Source organism: Homo sapiens, chromosome 20 (assembly GCF_000001405.40).
Source record: "Homo sapiens chromosome 20, GRCh38.p14 Primary Assembly".
Classification (NCBI taxonomy): domain Eukaryota; kingdom Metazoa; phylum Chordata; class Mammalia; order Primates; family Hominidae; genus Homo; species Homo sapiens.
Window position 1 is genome coordinate 34,490,476 of NC_000020.11, and position 25,044 is coordinate 34,515,519.

General features: G+C 39.4%; 1 protein-coding gene across 13 annotated transcripts in view, besides 2 other annotated features; it reads left to right on the top strand.

Annotated features, from left to right (window-relative positions):
• Window positions 1-21,298, top strand: part of ITCH (itchy E3 ubiquitin protein ligase) — a 148,501-nt gene extending 127,203 nt beyond the window's left edge. For all 13 annotated transcript variants that reach the window (NM_001324197.2, NM_001324198.2, NM_001257137.3 and 10 more), the window contains 3 exons: window positions 2,026-2,122; window positions 13,856-13,928; window positions 17,220-21,298. In NM_001324197.2, coding sequence (NP_001311126.1) covers window positions 2,026-2,122; window positions 13,856-13,928; window positions 17,220-17,319 — 270 coding nt within the window. In that variant the 3' untranslated portion in view covers window positions 17,320-21,298. The remainder of the gene's footprint in view (window positions 1-2,025; window positions 2,123-13,855; window positions 13,929-17,219) is intronic.
• Window positions 22,209-22,503: a silencer, noted in NCBI's record as "tiled region #10290; K562 Repressive non-DNase unmatched - State 14:Gen5'". NCBI's record gives its function as "represses a minimal TATA promoter and a strong SV40 promoter by Sharpr-MPRA in K562 cells {active_cell/tissue: K562}" and the evidence as "EXISTENCE:reporter gene assay evidence [ECO:0000049][PMID:27701403]".
• Window positions 24,969-25,028: an enhancer, noted in NCBI's record as "active region_17765". NCBI's record gives its function as "activates an Ori minimal core promoter by ATAC-STARR-seq in GM12878 lymphoblastoid cells {active_cell/tissue: GM12878}" and the evidence as "EXISTENCE:reporter gene assay evidence [ECO:0000049][PMID:35858748]".

Sequence of the window (25,044 nt, forward strand, 5' to 3'; positions counted from 1 at the left end):
CTGGCTAACACGGTGAAATTAGCCGGGCATGGTGGCACATGCCTGTAATCCCAGCTACTTGGGAGGCTGAGGCAGGAGAATCACTTGAACCTGGAAGGCAGAGGTTGCAGTAAGCCAAGTTCGCACTACTGCACTCCAGCCTGGGTGACAGAGCAAGACTCTGTCTCAAAAACAAAAACAACACAATGAGATACCACATCACACTTAGTATTATTTTTGAAGTGGAGAAGAACAACCATTGCCAAGGGCGCATTGCTGGTGATAGTGTGAAATACCACACCACTGTGGAAATAGTTTGGTGGTTCCTCAAAATTTAAGCATAGAATTAACATAAGATCCAGGAATTCCAATCCTTGGTATACAGCCCAAAAAATTGAAAGCAGAGACTTAAACAGATACTTGTACACCAGTATTCATCATTCATTTACCGACACAAAATGTGGTATATGCATATACAGATGCTCCTGGACTTGGAGTTTTATCCTTTATATCCATCATAAGTCAAAAATATCTTGAGTTGAAAATGCATTTAATACCCTTATCATAACTTACCCATTGTAAAGTTACATTGTAAAGTCACAACTTACCCATTGTAAAGTTGAAAAATCATAAATCGAACCATCATAAGTCTAGGTGCTCCTCAACTTATGATGGAGTAATAAACCCAATAAACCCATCATAAAGTCAAAAATTTGTAAGCCAGGGACTGTCTGTGTTGGAATATTATTCAGTGCTAAAAAGTAATGAGATTTTTGGTATGTGCTACAACATGAACAAACCTTAAAAACATTATGAATTTTAAGATAAGCGAAGTAAGCCAGACACAAACGGACAAATACTGTATAATTCCACTTACATGAGGTTACTAGAATGGGCAGCTTCATAGAGGCAAAAGTAGAATATGGGTTACCAGAAGTTGCAGGGAGCAAAAATGGGAAGTTGTGTTTAATGTGTACATAGGTTTTACTTGGGATGATGAAAAAGTTGGAAATAGTGGCGATGGTTGCACAACAGTGTGAATGTACTTAATGTCATTGAATTACACTCAAAATGGTTAAAATCGAGAATTTATGTTGTGTATATTTTACAAAAATTTAAAAAATTAAAAAAATCTGGTATACATGTAAAAAAATTCATATGAGAAACTTAAACTGAGCTTCTATAACAAGTAGGATTACAATTGTAGGATAATTAATAATACTACAATAGGATAAAAATTATTCCTTATAAAAAAGTTTTTGGCTGAGGCAAAACAGTTATACTACAGGCTAGAAACATTCTCTAGAAACCTATTGTTTTGAGTCAGAATTGTATGAAATAAAAACCACATAATTCTAGCTATGTGTAGCTATACCAAAACCTAAAGAACATTGAGAAGAGGAGGTTATTGGGATATATCCTGCATCAGAATTCTGTGAGTTTGATTAAAGTTGTTTATTAAACCAAAAAGTCTGTACTGACTCAAGGTCTGTATCCTGTGTAGCCACATGAATATCCTATAGGACGGGCAAATCTGGGGCTGGGGGGTGGTGGTGGGATGGGGAGTCACAGGAAGGGCTGCCCTAGAAGAGCTAATCTTAAAACTGCGTGAGTACGGAGCTCTTGGTCTCAGTCCATCTTACTTTTTATATATCCCTTTAAGTATATTGTCCTAAGATTTATATAAGGAAAGGTTGATGGGGCTTTGATAAACATGGAAATGGCCCTCCATCCATAGTGTTAAGTAATTATCTAATGCAGTGGACACCAGAGTTTCCTTTAAGATTTGAAATGAGCTAGATACAGTGGCTTGCTCCTATAGTCCCAGCTACTCTGGAGGCCGAGGCAGGAGGACTGCCTGCTGCCCAGGAGTTAGAGGCTGCAATCAGCTATGATTGCATCACTGCACCCCAGCCTGGGCCACAGAGCCTGGGACACCTCACCTCTAAAAAAAATAAAAGATTTGAAATCATTATTTTTCTTTCTTGTTTAGTGTGCTGAATGTAACATATGACATATATATCTCTTTAAATATACTTTTAACAGTTTGTTAAAGAAATTGATAATGAGAAGAGAATGAGACTTCTGCAGTTTGTTACTGGAACCTGCCGATTGCCAGTAGGAGGATTTGCTGATCTCATGGGTATGTATACAGGATCACTTTTCCTATACAGAAAATTGTTTATCATGCTGCTTTACGTAAATGTGTATACAGCCTATTAGAAACAACAAAGACAGGGATAGCCATTTTCTTAACTATTCCCAGTTAGCATGGATTTGTATAACCTTTAAAATAGTTTTTAGTACTTACCTTTGTAGAAATTTTTAACCCTCAAGCTAGAACCCACAGCTAACTCATTAGGACAGCAGTCTTCTGTATGTAAATCTGTTCATTTAGTCATTTGCCAAACATGTGTGTCTTAAGAGTCAATCACTATTGGTTGTATTATTTAACGATGTGAGAAGATCATTATATAATACAATAGTGGATTGTAGTTTTAGTATTGTGTTTAAAACCACTCTTCCCTGGGAGACTGGGAGTTCTTTGAGAAATGGATTCATATCTTCATCTTTTTATTTCTTGCCCCTGGCAAAGTGCCTGTTACACAGCAATCTGCTGCTTAAAATGAATATTAAGATGAATGACTATGGCAATATTCACTTTGTTACTAAACAGTAAATTATTTAAGTAAATTCAAGTATTTCCTTAATACCAACATTATCCCAAGTATCATAGGAGGATACACAGAGAAGTTAAGATCCCAAAGCCTGCTTCAGACTGAAGCAGAGAGTCAAAATTAGAACTAAGCAGGTAATTTTGAATACAGAACATGGAACCAGTTTAGAAAGTACTTTAAAAGCCAGAAAAAGAATTTGGATATTACCGTGAGGGTATTGGAAGCTGTGGAACTTTTTGAAGAGAGGAAAACTTGCTCAAGCTGCATTTAGGAAGATTTGATAGGAAGATACAGTGTGGATTAAAAGATGGTGAGGACCTAGAGATAAGAAGAAATCATTGCAGCAATGATGAGAACCTGATCTCAGGAGATGAAAGTAGAAATAGAAAAGAGGGGGTAGATACTAGGTAAAGTTCCAAAGGAGAAACAGGTAGAGAGCTTAATAGAAAATGAAGTATAAGAGAGGGGTATCAGCAATAATTGTCATGTTATGGAACATGGAGCAATGGAGAAGTTAGGAAGTATAAAGAGTATGCATCGTTGTAGATGTTGGGGGAGGATGCTGAGCAGCTTAGAACCTGCTGAATTTAAGGTAACTGCTGGACAACCAAGTAGAAAACCCCAGGGAAGCAGCTGTAGAGGTAACAATATATGAGTTAGAGTTAAGAGGAAACAGAAGAAGTTGAATCATCAGAGCAGTGACATTTGATGCTGTGAGAATGTGTGGTCTTAGGCAGAAATAGAATACAGAGAGGAGTAGAAGGCTAATGCCTAGAACCATCTGCATGTAGGGATAAGACAGAAGGAGATAGCCTAGGCCAGGCACAGCCTCACGCCTATAATTCCAGCACTTTAGGAGGCTGAGCTGGGTGGATCGCTTGAGCTCAGGAGTTTGAGAACAGCTGGGACGACATGGTGAGACCCCGTCTCTACTAAAAATACAAAAATTAGCCGGGCGTGTTGACGCACACTTGTAGCCCTGGCTACTGGGAAGGCTGAGGCAGGGAGAATCGCTTGAACCCGGGAGGCAGAGGTTGCAGTGAGCTGAGATCGTGCCACTGCACTCCAGCCTGGGAAACAGAGTGAGACTCCATCTCAAAGGAAAAGAAAAGATGGAATTAGTCTGGAAGCCAATTTAAAGGAGAGACCAGAGAGTGAAAAGAAGAAAGAAATAGTATACTGTCTGAGAAGCAATTAGAAGGAATTTTTTTCTTCAGTGCTACAGAGAGGTCTCAGAAGGGTGATTTCTAGGAAAGTTTTTGTTAGGAGACAGAAACAGTGAGATTGTGGTTTGGAGAATTTTAGAGGCTATCTAGTTTATTTTGTTTGTTTTAGTTTCAAATCTTTATTCTTTTTTACTTTTTAAATTATTCTTAATTGACATAATTGTACACATTTAGGGGTACAGTTTTTATTTTGATACATGTATACAATATATAATGATCAAATTGGGGTAATTAGGATATCCATCACCTCAAACATTTATCAATTCTTTGTGTTGGGAACATTCAAAACTCACTTTTCTAACTATTTATAAACATACAGTCCAGGTGCAGTGGTTCACACCTGTAATCCCAGCACTTTGGGAGGCTGAGGCAGGAGGAACACACGAGCCCAGGGGTTTGAGACAAGCCTGGGCAATATAGGGAAACCCTGTCTCTACAGAAAATTTAGAAGTTAGCTGAGCGTGGTGGTACATGCCTGTAGTCCCTGCTATTCAGGAGGTTGAGGTGGGAGGATCACTTGAGCCTTGGAGGTGAAGGTTGCAGTGAGCCAAGGTCATGCCACTGCACTACAGTCTCAGTGACAGAGTGAGACCCTATCTTAAAAATACATACACTGGGCGCGGTGGCTCACGCCTGTAATCCCAGCACGTTGGGAGGCCGAGGCAGGCGGATCACCTGAGGTCAGGAGTTCGAGACCAGCCTGGCCATCGTGGTAAATCCCCTTCTCTACGAAAAATACAAAAAAAAAAAAAAAAAATTAGCCAGGTGAGGTGGTGGGAGCCTGTAATCCCAGCTACTTGGGAGGCTGAGGCAGGAGAATCACTTGAACCTGGGAGGCAGAGGTTGCAGTGAGTCGAGATTATGCCACTACATTCCAGCCTGGGCGACAAGAACAAAACTCCAACTCAAAAATAAATAAATAAATAAATAAATAAAATATATATATATATATATATATACACACGCACACACACACACGGTAAATTGTTGTTGATTATAGTCATTGTATAGTGCTATAGAACACTAGAACTTATTCTTCCTGCCGATCTGTACTTGTGCATCTATTAACCAACCTTTGGCTCTCCCCTCATTCCTGCCACCCTTCTGTAGTAACCACTGTTGCACTTTGTACTTCTATGAGATCGGCTTTCTTAGCTTTCACGAGTGACAGCATGTAGTATTTATCTTTTTGTGCTTGGCTTATGTCACTTAAAACGTCCTCCATGTTCATCTATGTTGTCATAAATGACAGAATTTTGCTTTTTTAAAAAATGTCTGAAGTATTCCAGTTTGTTTATACACCACATTTTCTTTATCCGTTTACCTGATTATGGACACATAAGTTGATTCCCTATCTTGGCCCTTGTGAATGGTGCTGCAGTAGACATGGGAGTGCAGATGTCTGTTCGACATACTGATTTCCTTTTCTTTAGATGAATGCCCCATAGTGGGATTGCTGGATCATATGGTTGTTGGGCGGCTGAGATGGGTGGATCTCTTAAGGCCAGGAGTTTGAGATCAGCCTGGTCAACATAGTGAAACCCTGTCTCTACTGAAAATACTAAAAAAAAAAAAAAAAAAAAAAAAAAATTAGCTGAGAGTGGTGGTACACGCCTGTAATCCCAGCTGCTTGGGAGGCTGAGGCACAACAATTGCTTGAAACTGGGAGGCAGAGGTTGCACTCTAGCCTGGGTGACAGAGCAATACTCTGTCTCAAGAAGTTAAGAAGAAGAATTTACATCCCTGCCAACAGTATATAAGAGTTCCTCTTTTTCCACATCCTTGCCAGCATTTGTTATTTTTTAATCTGTAACAGTTATTCTAACTGAGGTGAGATGATAGTTCATTGTGGTTTTGATTTGCATCTCCCTGATGATTAGTTATGTTTAACATTGTTATTTTGAGAGATATCTATTTAGCTCATATCCCATTTTTTAATGCATTGTTTTTCTTCTTTTTTGCTGTTGAGTTCTTGTATATTCTGGATATTCTTTGTTGGATGAATTGTTTGCATATACTTTCTCCCATTCTGCAGATTGTCTCTACACTGTGTTGATTGTTTCCTTTGCTATGCCAAAGCTTTTTAGTTTCATATAACCCAATTTGTCTATTTTTATTTTTGTTGCCTGTGCTTTTTATGTCCTCTTTATAAAATCTTGGCTCAGGGCCAGGTGTGGTGGCTCGTGCCTGTAGGCCCAGCACTTTGGGAGGCCGAGACGGGTGGATCACCTGAGGTCGGGAGTTCAAGACCAGCCTGACCATGGAGAAACCCTGTCTCTACTAAAAATACAAAAATTAGCTGGGCGTGGTGGCGCGTGCCTGTCATCCCAACTACTCAGGAGGCTGAGGCAGGAGAATCACTTGAACCCAGGAGGCGGAGGTTGAGGTGAGCCGAGATCGTGCCATTGCACTCCAGCCTGGGCAAGAAGAGCAACACTCCATCTCAAAAAAAAAAAAAAAAAAGAAAAGAGAAAAGAAAAATCTTTGCTCAGACCTGTGCCCTGAAGCATTTTTCCTGTTTAATCCATTTTGAGTTGATTTTTGTACGTTATGAGAGAAAGGGGTCTACTTTCATTTTTAGCATATAGATTTCTGTTATTCCAGTACCATTTATTGAAGAGAGTGTCCTTTCCCCCAATGATTGTTCTTTTTTTTTGAGACAGAGTCTCACTCCGTTGCCCAGGCTGGAGTACAGTGGCGAGATCTCGGCTCCCCACAACCTCCGCCTCCCAGGATCAAGCAATTCTCTTGCCTTAGCCTCCTGAGTAGCTGGGATTGCAGGCACGCACCACCACACCTGGCTAGTTTTTTTATTTTTAATAGAGATAGGGTTTCTCTATGTTGGTCAGGCTGGTCTTGAACTCCTAACCTTGTGATCTGCCTGCCTCAGCCTCCCAAAGTGCTGGGATTACAGGCATGAGCCACTGTGCCCAGCCAATGATTGTTCTTAGTGTCTTTATTGAAAATCAGTTGGATGTAAATATGTGGGTTTGTTTCTGGGTTCTCTCTTCTGTTCCACTGGTCTATGTGTCTGCTATTATGCCAGTACCATGCTGTATTGGTTACTATAGCTTTGTTGTATATCTTGAAGTCCAGTAGTGTGATGCCTCCAGCTTTTTGTTCAGAATGGCTTTGGCTATTCAGGATCCTTTGTAGTTCAGTATGAGTTTTAGGATTGTTTTTTCTATTTCTGTGAAGAATGTCATTGGTTGTTTTTGTTTTTGTTTTTGTTTTTTGAGATGGAATGTATCACTCTGTCACCCAGGCTGGAGTGCAGTGGCACATTCTCAGTTCACTGCAACCTCTGCCTCCCGGGTTCAAGTGATTCTTGTGCCTCAGCCTCCCAAGTAGCTGGGATTACAGGCATATGCCACCACACCCAGCCACTTTCTGTATTTTTAGTAGAGATGGCATTTCGCCATGTGACTGGTCTGGTCTTGCACTCCTGAACTCCGGTGATCCGCCCACCTTGGCCTCCCAAAGTGATGGGATTACAGGCATGAGCCACTACACCCAGCCGTCATTGGTATTTCTGTAGGGATTGCATTGAATCTGTAGAAATTTTTAATAGTACGGTTATTAGTGGAGTATTAATTTTTCAACCCATGAACATGGGATGTCTTTACATTTTTTGTGTGTTTTCTTCAGTTTCTTTTGTCAGTGTTTTATAGTTTTTGCTGTAGAGATCGTTCACCTCCTTGGTTAAATTTATTTCTAGGTTTTTGTTGTTTGTAGCTATTGTAAGTAGGATTGCTTTCTTGATTTCTTTTTCTTCTAGTTTGTTGTTTTATAGAAACGCTGCTGATTTTTGTATGTTGATTTTGTATCCTACAACTTTACTTAATGTGTTTATCAGTTCCAATAATTTTTTATTGGTGGAGTTTTTAAGGTTTTCTGTATATAAGGTCATGTTGTCTGCGAACAGGTATAGTTCAACTTCTTCCTAATTCTGATGCCCTTTATTTCTTTCTCTTATCTAATTGCTTTGGCTGGGACTTCCAGCAGTTTGTTGAATAAATGTGGTGAAAGTGGGCACCCTTGTCTTGTTCCATATCTTGGAGGAAAAGCTTTTAGTTTTCTCTGTTCAGTATGATGTTGGCTGTGGATTTGTAATATATAGCCTTTATTATGTTCAGGTACATTCCTTCTGTGCCTAACTTGTTGAGAGTTTTTCTTATGAAGTGATGTTGGATTTTATTAAATATTTTTTCTGCATCTATTGAGAAGATCATATGGTTTAGCCCATCATTCTGTTGATATACTTTGTTATGTTCATTGATTTGTATATGTTGAACCATCCTTGCAACCTTTGGATCTTTTTAATGTGTTGCTGAATTTGATTTGCTTGTATTTCATTGAGGATTTTTGCATCTGTGTTCATCAAGGATATTGGCCTATAGTTTTCTTTTCTTTTCTTTTCCTCCTTTTTTTTTGTTTTTGTTTCTTGTATCCTTGTCTAGTTTTGGTATCAGGGTAACGCTGGCCTTGTAGAATGAGTTTCAAAAAATTCTCTCTTCTATTTTCTGGAAGAGCTTGAAAAGAATTGGTATTAGTTCTTCTTTAAATGTTTGTTAGAATTCCATTGGTTCCTAGACTTTTGTTTTCTTTGATGGGAGACTTTTTTTTTTTTTCTTGAGACAGAGTCTTGCTCTTTCACCCAGGCTGGAACGCAGTGGCACGATCTCGGCTCACTGCAACCTCCGCCTCACAGGTTCACACCATTCTCCTGCCTCAGCCTCCCGAGTAACTGGGACTACAGGCGCCTGCCACCATGCTCGGCTAATTTTTTGTCTTTTTAGTAGAGACGGGGTTTCACCGCGTTAGCCAGGATGGTCTCGATGTCCTGACCTTGTGATCCGCCCGCCTTGGACTCCCAAAGTGCTGGGATTACAGGCGTGAGCCACTGTGCCCAGCTTTTTTTTTTTTTTTTTTTTTTTTTTTTTTTTTTGAGACAGTCTTGCTCTGACACCCAGGCTGGAGTGCAAATGGGAGACTTTTTATTACAGATTCAGTCATGTTACTTATAATTGATCTTTTCAGCTTTTCTGCTTTTTCTTGGTTCAGTCTTGGTAGGTTGTATGTGTCCAGGAATGTATCAATTTCCATAGGTTTTCTAAGTTGGTGTGTAGTTCATAATAATTTCTAAAGGTCCTTTGTATTTCTGTGGTGTCAGTTGTAATGTCTCCCTTTTCGTTTCTGATTTCATTTATTTGGGTCTTTTCTTGGTTAGTTTAGCTAATGGTTTGTCAATTTTGTTTATCCTTTCAGAAAAAAAAAACAACTTTTCATTTCATCTATCTTTTGTCTTCATTTTTAGCCTCATTTTTGTTTATTTCTGTTTTGATCTTTATTATTTCTTTCCTTCTAGTAATTTTGGGTTTGCTTTGTTCTTTTCTGGTTTCTCAAAGTGTATCATTAGGTCATTTGTTTAAAATCTTTCCACTTTTTTGATGTAGGCATTTATTGCTATAACATTACCTTTTAATATTGGTTTTGCTATATTTTATAATTTTCAATATATTGTGTTTCCATTTGCATTTGTTTCATGGAATTTTTAAATTTCCTTTTACATTTCCCCATTGGTCATTCTGGAGCACGTTTAATTACCATGTATTTATACAATTTTGAAAGTTCCTCTTTTTATTGATTTCTAGTCTTACTCCATTGTGTTCAGAAAATATATTTGACATTATGACTTCAGTTCTTTTAAATTTGTTGAGACTTGTTTTGGGTCTTAATATGTGGTTTCCCCAGGAGAATGTTCCATGTGCTGATGACAAGAATGTGTATTCTGAAGCTGTTGGATGAAATGTTCTATGAATGACTGTTAGGTTCATTTGGTCTGAAGTACAGTTTAAATCCAATGTTTCTTTGTTGATTTTCTGTCTAGATGATCTATCCAGTGCTAAGAGTGGATATTGAAGTCCCCAACTAGTATTGGAGTCTGTCTTTCCCTTTTAATATAATAATATTTCCTTTTTATATCTGGGTTCTTTGGTGTTGGGTGCATATATAACTCTCATATCCTCTTGTTGAATTGGTCCCTTTATCATTATAGAATGCCCTTTGTCTCTTTTTATAGTTTTTGATTTAAAGTCTGTTTGCCTGATATATGTATAGCTACTCCTGCTCACTTTGGATTTCCATTTCCATGAAATATCTTTTTCATCCCTTCCTTTTCAGTCTGTATGTGTCTTTACGGGTAAAGCAAGTTTCTTGGAGGCAGCATATGATAGTTGGGTCATTTTTCTTTTTAAATCTATTCAGCCAGTCTATATCTTTTTAGTAGGGAATTTATCCACTTATATTCAAGGTTATTACTGATAGATCAGGACTTACTCCTGTCATTTTTAAAATTACTTTCTGGTTGCTTTATATATCCGTCGTTCCTTTCTTTCTCTCATTGTTTATCATTATGGTTTTTGTGGTTTTCTATAGTGCTAAGGTTTGGTTCTTTTTTCCCTTAGTGTATCTGCTCTACCAGAGTGTTATATTAATACTTTTTGTGTATTTTCATGAGAGTGATTATCATCTTTTCACTTCCAGATGTGGGAGTCCGTTGAGCATTTTTCATAAGGTGATGAATTCCTTCTATTTCCCCATGTCTGGGAAATACTGTATTTCTCCTGTATGTCTGAAGGATGGTTTTGCTGGGTATAGTAATCTTGGCTGCCAATTTTTTTCTTGCAGTACTTTGAATATTATCTCATTCTCTCCTGGTCTGTAAGGTTTCTGCAGAGGCAGCCATCTAGTTTAAACTTCCACCCAGCACAGGAAGAGAAAGTTTTAGAGGTGGTGTATGTAATTCTTTAATGGGATGCTTCTTGACCTTGGGGATGGATCCAACATCCCACTTTTATTAATATATATTCATAATATCCCCTTTAATACACTGATTTATGGATGAAATAACCTATTGACAATCCCTAGAAAATACTTATACATAGCCTTAACTGTAATATAAGGGATTAAATTTTTTAGGTAATTTATAATGAAATAATATGTGTTTTAATACATGTCTATTTGGGGACAACTATGTTAGAAGATATACCTAAGAAGTCAAATATTTGTTCCTACTTATAAGAAAAGGTTTAAGACAAGATCAAAAGCCATTCTCTATAAGAAGTACTGGAAGGGCTGAGTGCGGTGGCTCACGCCTGTAATCCCAGCACTTTGGGAGGCTGAGGCGGGCGGATCACCTGAGGTTGGGAGTTCGAGACCAGCCTGACCAACATGGAGAAACCGTATCTCTACTGAAAATACAAAATTAGCCAGGCGTGGTGGCACATGCCTGTAATCCCAGCTACTCAGGAGGCTGAGGCAGGAGAATCGCTTGAACCTGGGAGGCAGAGGTTGCAGTGAGCCAAGATCGTACCATTGCACTCCAGCCTGGGCAACAAGAGCGAAACTCCATCTCTCAAAAAAAAAAAAAAAAAGACAAGTAGTACTGGAAAATAAAAGAACAGATGAGAAAGATAAATAATAGACTTAAGTATATGTGATAACAAAAGGAGGGAAGTAACCTAAATAAAGTATGAATAATACACCTGCAAAAATAAATTATAGATGGTCAAGGTGGAGAAAAATGAGGTAGATCTTAAAAGCATAGTATCAGAATATATCTCCTGTCATGAAATTCTACTATAGGCCAAGGCTCTAACATGTAAAAAAGCCTCGGAGACCATAACATTTGAAAGGTGGCTGAAAATAGGAACATAGGTACAAAAGTCTACACAGAAGTTGTATGGTTTAGGGACAGTGTCAGAGTTTTTAATATTTGATTTTAAATCTATTAAAAGCAATTCAGAATCCTTTCTGTTACATACTAATGTGCATTATTAAATGAAACTCCTTTCCATCTATGTAGTTAAATATGCTGCTAGGTATGGTGGGCACACATCTGTAGTCCCAGTTATTTGGAGGCTGAGGCAGGAGAATTGCTGGAGCCCAAGATTTCAAGCCTGTAGTGCACTATAACTGCTTCTGTGAACAGCCACTGCACTTAAGCATGGGCAACATAGTGATACCCTGTGTCTTAAAAAAAAAAAAAATTTATAAAAAATGAAATGTGACCAGGTACAGTGACTCACACCTGTAATCCCAGCACTTTGGGAGGCCGAGACGGTTGGGTCACTTGAGGTCAGGAGTTCAAGACCAGCCTGGCCAACATAGTGAAACCCCATCTCTACTAAAAATACAAAATTAGCCGGGTGTGGTAGTGGGCACCTGTAATCCCAGCTACTCGGGAGGCTGAGGCAGGAGAATCACTTGAACCTGGGAGGCGGAGGTTGTGGTGAGCCAAGATTGCTCCACTGCACTCCAGCCTGGGAGACTCCGCCTCAAAAAAAAAAAGAAAATGCTATAAAATATTGAGTAGAGGGTGGACATGATGGCTCATGCCTGTAATCCCAACACTTTGGGAGGCCAAGGTGGGTTGATCACTTGAGGCCAGGAGTTCAAGACCAGCCTGGCCAACATGGTAAAACCCCATCTTTACTAAAAATACAAAAATTAGTTGGGTGTGGTGGTGCACATCTGTAATCACAGCTACTCTAAGGCATGAGAATTGCTTGAACCCAGGAGGCGGAGGTTGCATTGAGCCAAGATTGTGCCACTGCCATCCAGCCAGGGTGACAGAGTGAGACTCTGTCTCAAAAAATATATATATTGAGTAGAGAGAACATGCAGAGTGAGTTAATTTTAATTTATGTGTTGAACACCACAGAATAATTTTAACTGTGTTTTTTTATAACGTTTCCTATATTACTGGACTTTTTACATAACTACTTGTGAAAACAATTCAGTGTTATTAAATACAAAAGCACTAACAATTTATATTGGGTATACTTAGTATACAGGGTTTAGTCAGGTGGGACATGAGAAAGTTCTTTGTGTCTGACAGTGTCACACATTACAGAACAGTTAGCGTTCCTGCCCCCTTCTAATTAAAATATCTAGTAGCATTACCAGTCATTGAGACCAACAATAAATGCTTCCTAGGGAAAAGTAATGATCTTTTAAAAAACTGGTGTTTTTATGATCACTTTTCACAGCTATCTCCAGCAGCAGGTAAATGAGGGGCAAGTATTTTATGTTTATACTTGTATCTGTTTTTGTAAGGGTATGCCCTACAGGACCTGTAAGTTCCAGCATTAATAATATGGAATTCACTAGGATATTTACATTTCACAAAGTTTTATTAATTCTGTATTTAAATCAAGTTTTATTGTAGTTTCGTTATTGTCTTTCAAACTACTAAAATTAAGCTTTTTGTGTGTTCTTGTGTAAGCTTTTATTAATCATAACAATGTGTTATTCCGGCTAAAGAATGCTAGATGAAACTGCATTTTCTCCTTTGGGACTTATATTAACAAACTATAGTCTTCAAACTTTTACACTTACCAGAATCACCCGGAAGCTTGTTAAAGCACATATTGCTGAGCCTGACCCCTAGAGTTTCTTTTTTGTTTGTTGGTTGCTTTTGGGTTTTTTGGGTTTTTTTTTTTTTTTGGTTTTTTTTTTTTTGGTTTTTTTTTTTTTTGAGATAGGGTCTCGTTCTGTCACCCGGGCGAGAGTGTAGTGGCGCAATCTTGAGTCACTGCAACTTTGCTGCACAGATTCAAGCAATTCTCCTGCCTCAGTCTCCTGAGTAGCTGGGATTACAGGCATACGCCACCACACTTGGCTAGTTTTTGTATTTTTAGTAGAGATCAAGATTCACCATATTGGCCAGGCTGATCTTGAACTCCTGACCTCAAGTGAGCTGCCCACCTTTGCCTCTCAAAGTACTGGGATAACAGACATGAGCCACCACACCTAACCCAGAGTTTCTGAATTAGTAAGATGATGTGTGGGGCCTGAGGATTTATGGTTCTAACAAGTTCCCTCATGATGCTGATGCTTGTTGGATTGGGGAACACAGTTTGAGATCCACTATACTAACAAACTGTTTATGATTTCATTATGTTTTAGGGAGCAATGGACCACAGAAATTCTGCATTGAAAAAGTTGGGAAAGAAAATTGGCTACCCAGAAGTCATACCTGGTAAGTACAATCAGAATGGATAGAGAAAACAGCTTTTGTCCAGTTATCTGTAGCTATTTAAAGCCAGCTAGAAATTAAAAATGATATTTAGTAGATTTACAGAATAGCACAGCCATCATAGCAATCCAGTTTAAGAGCATTTTGTTCACCCCTGTATGATTCCTTACAACTATTTGCAATCAATTCCTTTTTTCACATCTGAATTTTTTTTCTAATGTGGGATTTAGAGTTATTTTAACTTTTCTCTGAGGGCAGCAAAAGAAAGTTAGGAGACCTACTTTCTAACATCATGACCACAAATATTCTCATTTGAAATCTAATTACATTTCTAAAAATGTAGAAAACTAAATCTAATCCTAATCTGACAGCAAATATATTAATATTTTGGAATTCAACCTAATGTCAACAATATTTGAACCTTATTTTGTGGGATATATTTTAGTGGTCACATATGGTCCTTCCTGGATATCTGACCTCTTTACTGTTTTACTAATGTCTATTCCTTTTTGTTTTTATACATAATGTTTTGTACATGCATGTAGTGTTTAAGTAACAATTTTATTGATATATAATTTACAGATTATAAAACTCACCTTCTTAAATTATGCAGTTCGGTTCAGTGGGGTTTTTTTGTTTGTTTGTTTGTTTGTTTGTTTTTGAGACAGGGTCTCACTTTGTAGACCAGGCTGGAGTGCAGTGGTTTGATCTCAGCTCACTGCAACCTCCGCCTCCCAGGTTCAAGCAATTCTCTTGCCTCAGCCTCCCAAGCAGCTGGGATTACAGGCGCCCGTGACCACGCCCAGCTAATTTTTGTATTTTTAGTACAGATGGGGTTTCGCCATGTTGGTCAGGCCGGTCTCAAACTCCTGATCTCAGGTGATCCACCCACCTCGGCCTCCCAAAGTGTTGGGATTACAGGTGTGAGCTGCCGCATCTGGCCTGTTCAGTGATTTTAGCATATTTATGAGGTTATGTAAGCATCATTACTGTCTAATTCCAGAATTTTTTCACCCTCCCAAAAATCCATGTACCCATTAGCAGTCACTCCCTTTTTACCCCGTGTAGCCCTTGGTAACCACTAATCTACTTTCTGTCTCTATGAATTTTCCTGTTCTGGACATTTCATATAAAATGAATCATACGATAAATATATAACTTTTTTTTTTTTGGAGACAGTCTCTCTCTGTCACCCAGGCTGGAGTGCAGTGGCGTGATCTCAGCTCATTGCAACCTCTGCCTCCTGGGTTCAAGTGATTCTCCTGCCTCAGCCTCCCGAGTAGCTGGGACTATAGGCAGCATGCACCACCACGCATGGCTAATTTTTGTATTTTTAGTAGAGACGGGGTTTCACCATGTTCGCCAGGCTGTTCTTGAACTCCTGACCTCGTGATCCACCCACTTTGGCCTCCCAAAGTCCTGGGATTACAGGCGTGAGCCACTGCCCCCAGCCAAAATATACAACCTTTTGTGTGTAGCTTCTTTTACTTAGCATGTTTTCAAGGTTCATCCATGGTCTAGCATATACAGTATTTCATTCCTTTTTAAAATTAATTGTTGGGTTTAATATACATAACATAGAATTTACCATTTTTAAGTGTGTACAGTTCAGTGGCATTAAGTGCATTCATATCATTATGCAGTCATCACCATCACCTATCTCCAAAAATTGTTTCTTTTGTTGAGACATGTCTCAGTCTGTCACCCAGGCTGGAGTGCTGTAGCTCAATCTCCACTCATGCACCCTCCACCTCCCGGGCTCAAACTGTCCTCCTACCTTAGCCTCCCAAGTAGCTGGGACGACAGGCATGTGCTACCACACCTGGCCAATTTCTAAACTTTTTGTAGAGACAGAGTCTTACTTTGTTGCTCAGGCTGGTCTCGACCTCTTGAGCTCAAGCAATACTCCTGCTTTGACCTCCCAAAGTGCTGGAATTACAGGCCATCATGCCAGACCTAAAACATTTTTCATCTTGTAAAATTGAAATGGTACCCATTAAAGCAGGGGTCCCCAACTCCTGGTCCCCAGCCTGTTAGGAACTGGGCTGCACAGCAGGAGGTAAGTGGAGGGTGAATGAGCATTACCTGCTGAGCTCCACCACTTGTCAGATCAGCAGAGGCATTAGATTCTCATAGGAGCAATAACTATTGTGAACTGTGCATGTGAGGGATCTAGATTGTGCATTCCTTACGAGAATCTAACCTGAGGTGGAACAGTTTCATCCTGAAACCATCCCCCTCTCCACTCCTGTCCATGGAAAAATTGTCTTCCACAAAACCATTGCCTGGTGCCAAAAAGGCTGGAGACTGCTGCTTTAAACAATGACTCCCCATGACTCCCTTTCCCCAGGTCCTGGCAAACATCATTCTACTACTGTTTCTATGATTCTTTAGTACTTCGTAAGTGTAGAATCGTACCTTATTTGTCCTTTCCTGGCTGGCTTATTTCACTTAGAATAATATCTTTAATTTTCATCCATGTTGTAGCATGTGTCAGCATTTCCTCCTTTTTAATGCTGAATAATATTTGATAGTCTGGATATACTACATTTTGTTTATACATTCATCTGTCCATGGACACTTAGATTATTTCCACCTTTTGGCTGTTTATGCTGCTATAAACATAGGTATACTGTGGTAGAATATAGATATATCTGTCCATGGCCCTGCTTTCAGTTGTTTTGGGTATATACCCAGAGGTGGAATTCCTTGATCATGTAGTAATTCTATTTTTAATTTTTTGGGGGAATCTCGCCATACTGTTTTCCATAGTGACTACACTGCGTTATATTCCTACCTGTAGTGCAGAGGGGCTCCAATTTCTCCACATCCTCACATCCTTTTCAACTCTTGTTTTCTTCTGTTTTTTTTTTTTTTTTTTTTTTTTTTGGTTGTTGTTGTTGTTGTTTTGGTGTTTTAAATAATAGCCATCCCAACAGGTGTGAAGTGGTATCTCATTGTGGTTTTTATTTGCATGGTAAAGGATGTTGAGCATTTTTTTAATGTGCTTATTGGTCATTTGTATGTCTTTGGAGAAATCTCTATCCTTTGTTCATTTTTAAATATTGTTGAGTTTTAAGTTTTTTATATATTTTGGATACCAGTCCTTTATCAGATATATGATTTACAAATATTTTTTCCCATTTTTGGGTTATTTCACTTTCTTGATGGTATCCTTTGAAGCACAGTAGTATATTTTTGTGCTTCTATAGTAGTGTATAAAGTAGTATACTACACTACTCATTTGATTCTTTGCATATTTCCTTTTCTCAAACTAACAATTCTTGCTTTTAGTTTTAATCGCCTGGACCTGCCACCATACAAGAGCTATGAGCAACTGAAGGAAAAGCTGTTGTTTGCCATAGAAGAAACAGAAGGATTTGGACAAGAGTAACTTCTGAGAACTTGCACCATGAATGGGCAAGAACTTATTTGCAATGTTTGTCCTTCTCTGCCTGTTGCACATCTTGTAAAATTGGACAATGGCTCTTTAGAGAGTTATCTGAGTGTAAGTAAATTAATGTTCTCATTTAGATTTATCTCCCAGTGATTTCTACTCAGCGTTTCCAGAAATCAGGTCTGCAAATGACTAGTCAGAACCTTGCTTAACATGAGATTTTAACACAACAATGAAATTTGCCTTGTCTTATTCCACTAGTTTATTCCTTTAACAACAATATTTTATGTGTGTCAAAAGTCTCACTTGGGAGTAGTGTTTTTTTCTTTTAGACATTCTGCAGACATGCAGGGAAGTCCTTTGGTAACTGCAATATACAAGATTTTCCTATTAAGCCTCTTGGTAAGAGGCATTTGTTAAAAGTGCAAGCTTACTCCTGCTTCTGGGGATGTGAGCAAAATTCGGGCTTGTGTTCTCCCTCTCATTTTAGTCTGACTTGACTATTGTTTTTCCTTTCTGGCGCATGAATCCATACATCATTCCTGGAAGTGAGGCAAGACTCTTGCATCTCTACAAAGTAGTTTTGTCAATTTGAATTCAGGGAAAAGTTGGTCACAGCCTGCAAATGACTTCATTTGGAAGTCTGATTGTTTCAGTTGCCTGACAAATACTACACTTTACAAACAATGTTAACACTGTGATTCCTTCATTGTTTTAAGAAGTTAACCTAGGGCCGGGCATGGTGGCTCATACCTGTAATCCTAGCACTCTGGGAGGCCGAGGCAGGAGGATCCCTTTAGCCCAGGAGTTAAAGACCAGCCTGGGCAACATAGGGAGACCCTGTCTTTTTTTTGGGCAGCGTGGTGGGGGATAAATAAATAAAAGGAAAAAAAACTTAGCCTAGAATTAGAATTAATTTAATTGAATTCATCTAAAGATGTCTCTGGTGATTTTTATATGTTCCGCTATATAATTGATGCTTTATAGTTTTATCATAATCCAACAACTTCAGTTATATTTAATTATTGTTAAGGAGTTTAAGACTAGAAAGACTAGAGTGCTTTCTAGTCCAAATAGAGGTCAGTGAAACAGCTTTTGACATCAGATTTTCATTTGAGAGGGAGAGCTGTGGTACTGGCTAAAAAGAAAGGAAGATAACATCCAGTAACCACAGGAATATATTCTCTGTGAATTAAAAGTCTTCAAAGTTATCATTTCTCTGACATATGTTGGAGTAGTCATTTCCATTCTTTACATTGTCATGAACTGGATTGATAACCCTCATCTGCAATATTTTCACCCCTAAAATTTTTAACAGGGTTTCCTTTTTTTCTCACGACTATTTAAGTTTAGATTGCTCCATTATTAACTGATTAATGCACTTTGAAGTTCTCTGGAATTAATTATTTTAACTTGGCCTAGCTTCGACTGTCAAGGTGGCTGTTATAAATTTGACTTCATTGGCAGTGGATGAAGCCTAAGCCAGCTGAGTCTCTATCATAGCTGAACCCTGAGGACAGCCTCATAGCTCATGTATCAGGGACTTTTGCCACATTTCAGAGGCATAGCATGAACAAGTAATATTAAGCCAAGAATAAGCAGCAGAACCCTGTTCCATATGGAAAAAAGAAAAACAATTTTTTGTCCCTAATGTTCTTCCTTTTACATCCTGGAACAACAATAAAAACATTTTTTTAAACTTGTCTACTGTAAGATACTGCCATCATAAAGCAGAGACTTACATGAGTGAAAGGGTTGCCTCATCAAGCAGCTCAGTGTAAATGGGGAGGCTAGGCTCTCCCCAGCCCTATGGTTTTTTTATTTCATGTACCCCAGGAAATACTGTGTGGTTTCTAAAAGCCCTGGTTGTTAAAAGTAGGGACTCTGCCTTTTTGTTGGTAGGGAGAAAAAACGCTATTGCTTTGTCTTACAGAGCGAATGTCTGCCAACTACCCGTTCATTATATAAGTCTGAACTTGGTAATATATGGCTAATGAAGATTAAGCCCTCTATAAAGACTTCCTGTTGAGGTGAATTCTCATACTGAAATGTAGTTACCTACAATATTTACTAGAGATTTATGAAATTAAATTAAGAGATAATGTAAGAAAATACATTTTTTTGGTTCTATATAATGCTTCATGATTCATTTAGGGACCTAGAAATATTGTGTGAAAATATATAAATATCACCCAAAAGGCTTTCTGCCCTATATTTTTAAAATACAGAATAGTTATATTTGAAGTAGCCCTGGCCCTAGTTCTATAGGGCTTGGCTATTTAATATTTTTATGGAAGAAGTGTTTAGTTCTGGAAAAGGTAAATGCTTGTATATATTTTTGCAGCCTGGGATCTCCCTACTCCATTTTTTCCTTTAATTTAAGTGGCCACATGTATATGTCTTCCCTGCTGTGTTAGGAAAATGGGGGCTGGATATCCCAAGAATCAGAGGTTATATAAAAATACTGCAAATAGACCGCAGACATAAATATCTACCAAATGCTATCTTAAATTTTGGTCCAAACTGAACATATGGAAATAGATTTATTGTAAGTATTTACTTAGAGCTTTTTCTTAAATCTGAACTAACTTGCTTTTAGAAGTCTTTTTCTTTGTAAGCATTGTAAATGCTAATAAATCCTGTTAATTTTTTTTTTTTTTTTTTTTTTTTTTTACTGCATGTTACATTGAAATAAAAACAAAGTAAAATGAGCAATTGCCTTATTGTTCTGCTCTTTTGCAGGGGGTGGGGGTTGGGGAAGACAGCATTCCACAGCCTGGTCAGGAGGGAAGGACCTCACTTGTTTCATCAAATGGAGTGGTTTAAAACTGATCAAGCAGCTCATAATAATGAATTCCTGCTCTGTCTTTTATTATCTTATGTCAGAGTGCAGCAAAATCTCATTTCATAAGACTTACAATAACTCTATTTAAAATTCAGGTATTGTACTCGGGAGGCTGAGGTGGGAGGATCCCAGGAGTTCAAATCCTGCCTGGGCAACATAGCAAGACCCTGTCTCTTAAAAAAACAAAAAGACATATTCAGGTACTGATTTTTCATCAAGAGATTGACATACCAATGATCAGAAATTTTAGTGAAACTTGACTCAACTATACACAAAGTTCTCATCCTAAATGAACTATTTCAGTCAAGCCCACTCTACCACTTTTTACTTATCTGGTTAATAATCCGAAATGTTACCGGGGTTGACTCACGGAATTAAATTTTTCCTCTATTTTTATATCCTTTCCTGTTGTGGATGTAACTTACCTTTCTAAACTCCTTTAGAGTTAACGACTTCTATTTAGTATTGTTGGTATCTCCAGCCCCCCTCCTTTTTTTGTTTTTCTTTTAGTTATTTACTTTGTTTGTATAATTTGCTTTCATTAACTAAAAATGGAATTGGCAGCACTGGATTGTATATTACTGTATTAAGAGTACCTTTGTTTTCTTGATCTGTTACTTTTAATACTCAGGTAATGCTACAAATATTACAGGGAGTCAAATGCTTTTATAAAGTTCCTTCAGTGGTTGCCTCACTTGCGTTTTCCTACAAGATGTAAGACTGTTTATAATTAAACTTTTTTGGTCCTTCATTTGCATGCTTTTCTATCAGTCTTGGGTAAGGAGGGGTCTCTTTCCTCTCTCCCCGGCCCCACCTTCTGAGACTTATATGTGACCAGGTCACATAGATTTCTGCCTCTCTGCTTTTTTAAGTGGCAAGTTACAGCCCATCTGGATTGTGGTATTGTTCCCAGACCAAATCAAGGGTTGGACTGCTTATTCTCGCAGCCCAATAATGAGGTGCAGATGAACTGAGAAAGGAGGGAGTTTATTTCTGTAACCAGGTATGGGGAGAAAGCCTGGAAATGATCCCAAGACCAACTCAAAACTACAAAGTTTTCCAGAGCTTATTTACATTATAAGCTATATGTCTACATGTGAGTGTACATTCATCTAAAGACATAAGTGATTCACTTTTTTAAATCTATAAATAAGATCTGAGCCCTGAAGACCTTCCTCTGGAGCCTCAGTAAATTTACTTAATCTAAATGGGTCCAGGTGCTGGGGTGATTACCCTTATCTTGTTTCCTGCTAAATCATGGAGGTTTGGGGACTTCCTTCAGACCCCCAGTAAACTTGTTTGTGGAGGCCTTCAGACCCCCTCAATAAGTTCCTTCAGACCCCCAATAAAACTTGTTTAATCCTAAATGGGTTCCTTTGTTATCTTGTCATGCTTCAAGGCCCAGAAAAGGCCTGGGCAAAACCCTTGGTGGCCTTTTGTTACATTCTAGCCTTTGCATAAGGGCCCTCACTCTTTCAGCTTTTAATATTTAACTTAACCACTCAGTGCTGAAACAGTTGTTATGGAGGCCTGCGTTATTGAGATCTGGCCTGCCACGGTACGGGTAGAAAAAAACTAGAAAGAGCTGTTGCAGATGAGACTGGATTTGGTGCCCATGTTGAAGATGAAGATATCTGCAGGGGCCATCAACCAACATAAAGGCCTCCATATGAATTGCTTTTCTGAGACAACTAAAAGACCGGGACCACAGGCATGAGTGCTGAGTAGAGAACCACCAACTAGCTAGCTGTCAAGACTGTTACCAAGACTGTTCTCAACAAGCTGACCTGGTTACCAGCGTCAGTAGAACTTTGTCTTATTAGGAAGCTCAGGTGATTATGCTCTCATTTAAAACAGAACCAGTGGAGAGAGACTAAGGGAAGAGGAATTTTTTAATACGGCTGATCTAACATGGACTAGAGGACAAAAACTGCAGGCCCCTCCCAGGTCCTGAGTAGTTAGTAGACCCTATCCTGTTTATTCTGTCCAATGGAAGCTGCTAGAATGCTCTAGTTTCATTGTGGCTTAGAATAAGGGGAAAAATATGCCCCGCTAAGTGAGGGTCAATGGTCAGTAAGTAATTGTTCTTACTGGCCATTGGCTCTCATCCCAAACCCTACAAATCATCAAACTGGGACTCAGCTGTGACTGACTGGCTGTTCTCTGGACTTTTTAAGTGTCTGTCTCACATTATGTAACTCCAGTACAGGAGCTGCTCTCTCTCCCAGCCCATTTCAGTTGTCAATTCTTCCATGTTCATAGGACTCCTTTGTGATCAGGATATCTGGAGTGAGGAGCCAGGGGAATATTCCTGGTTGGCAAGGAAAAGAGGGCCTTAAACATAAATCCCAGAAGGACACTGTTGATCACTTATGCACAGGGGTCTGTTAATAAGCAAAGAGTGGCTATGGACAAGAGGATTTCCTCAAAGCACCCCACAGGGAAGGACCTTGACAATTTGTAGTCATACTTGAAAGATCACTAAAAACAGCCCTCCTGTTATTTTTCTTCTAATTCAGACCTGTTGTTCTATTTGTCTTCCATATCATAGCAACCAGTACCACACCCATATTCATTTAATACCAAAACAACTGTCAACATTTATCACTATGTGCAGGACACTGGTAGATATGCTATGTGCAGTGTCACTTAGTCTTCCTGTTATTGGTAATGATTATCTCTGTTTTACAAGAAAATAGAGGCTCAAAATGATTGAATCATGTCCACAACTATTAAGTAGAAAGAATACAGGCTGGAATCCAGGATGGTTTGACTCTAAAGCATGCATACTTTACCATTTTTGTTGTACTGCTACTTACCACAACACTGGGAGTCGAATGTGACCAATTTTGCCATTCCATTTAATTAGTCTCCAAATCCTATCTATCCCCAAAACTTTTTTTTTTTGAGATGGAGTCACGCTCTGTCGCCCAGGCTGGAGTGCAGTGGCGCAATCTCGGCTCGCTGCAACCTCCACCTCCCGGGTTCAAGTAATTCTGCCTCAGCCTCCCTAGTAGCTGGGATTACAGGTGCCCATCACCAATGCACGGCTAATTTTTGTATTTTTAGTAGAGACGGGGTTTCCCCACGTTGGCCAGGCTGGTCTCGAACTCCTGACCTCAGGTGATCCGCCCGCCTTGGCCTCCCAAGTGTTTGGATTACAGGCATGAGCCACCGCGCCTGGCCCCAAAACTTTTAAAAATCCGTTCTCTCAGAGCTGACAACATTGCCACAGCCCACGTGCTTCCTCCCTAATCTGGCTGACCATAACAGCATCCTGTCTTCATTTTTCCATCCTCCTCGCTCCAGTATATCTTCTGTACTACCTCAGGATTATCTGTGGAAGACCTGTCTCATGCCTCCTCTACCTAAAATTTTACAGTGGTTTCTCCATTACCGCAGAATAAAACTTTTTTTTCTTTTTTTTGAGACGGAGTCTTGTTCTGTCGCCCAGGCTGGAGTGCAGTGGGGCGATCTTGGCTCACTGCAACCGCCGCCTCCTGGGTTCACGCGATTCTCCTGCCTCAGCCTCCCGAATAGCTGGGGTTACAGGCGCACACCACCACCCCCGGCTAATTTTTTGTGTATTTTTAGTAGAGGGGCTTTCACTATGTTGGCCAGACTGGTCTCGAACTCCTGACCTCGTGATCCGCCCACCTTGGCCTCCCAAAGTGCTGAGATTACAGGTGTGAGCCACTGCGCCGGGCCAAAACTCTAAGCCTGCCACTCCGGGACATTCTTGGTCCTATTCCAGCTCCTCCTTCATTCTCATTTTGGCTCCTGTCACATGAACTATTGGCCATTCTCTTTTTTGCTTCTGGGATTGTAATCTGTTAAAATCCTTTCACTCCTCTCAGTCTGGTTCTCCATGGGCAAGACAGTGGTGATTCTTCCAGTGCTTATCTTCCAGGATGTTTTAGGGTCCAGTCTCTGCAGCACTTCTTCCCCTTGCTAAATGCTTTCCTAATGTTTCCAGCATTCAATAGAAATTCCTTTGGATCCAGTCCTTTTAAAAATTTATTTTGAAATAATTTTACATTTACAGAGCTGTTGCAAAAATGGTTAAGAGTTCCTGCACAGTCTTCACCCAGCTTTCTCCAATGTTATGATCCCATATAACCATGCTAGAATTACCAAAACTAATAAATTAACACTGGTAAAAATAACACTAAACTACAGCCCTTACTCAGATTTCACCAATTTTCCCACCCATGTTATTTTTCTTTCTCCTTACTCCTCTAATCTGTGACAGTTCCGCATTCATTCCTTGCTTTCATGACTTTGAGATTTTGGGGGGCGGGGGCGGGGTACAGGTATCTTGTAGAACATCCCTCACACTGGATTTAGTGAAATTTTCTCATGGTTTAAGGCTGGGAGTTTTTGTGGAAAATGACTCGGAGGTGATGTGCCCTTAACGCATTTTTATCGGGGCACACGGCATCAATATCTCCCCTTGCCAGTAATACTAACTTTGATCTGGTTACGGTGGTGTCTGCTAGGTTTCTTCGCAGTAAAGTCAATCCTCTTAACATGCAGACACTCCTGGAAGGAGAACCAAATCCTTCCTCACTGAAGAGCAGCTACTGTGGAATGAAACTTTGGAGTTAGATCATCGTTGAATCCAGCAAGCTACAGTGCCTGGGAGAAACAGCATTTATAAAGTATCGAGGTTACCGATACTTCCCTGAAGCTACCGGAGATAACGTTATGTGCGTGTTCAGCACAGTAATGTGGCACAGGGTTCACTAAACGGCAGCATGTTTTAACAGAAGTTATTTACTCCTAGAGGACCCAGAAACGTTTGCGGCCTGCCGGAACAGGACAACATAGGGCTCTGGGAAGAGTCCCCCTTTCAGAGGTGAGAACAAGACAGAACA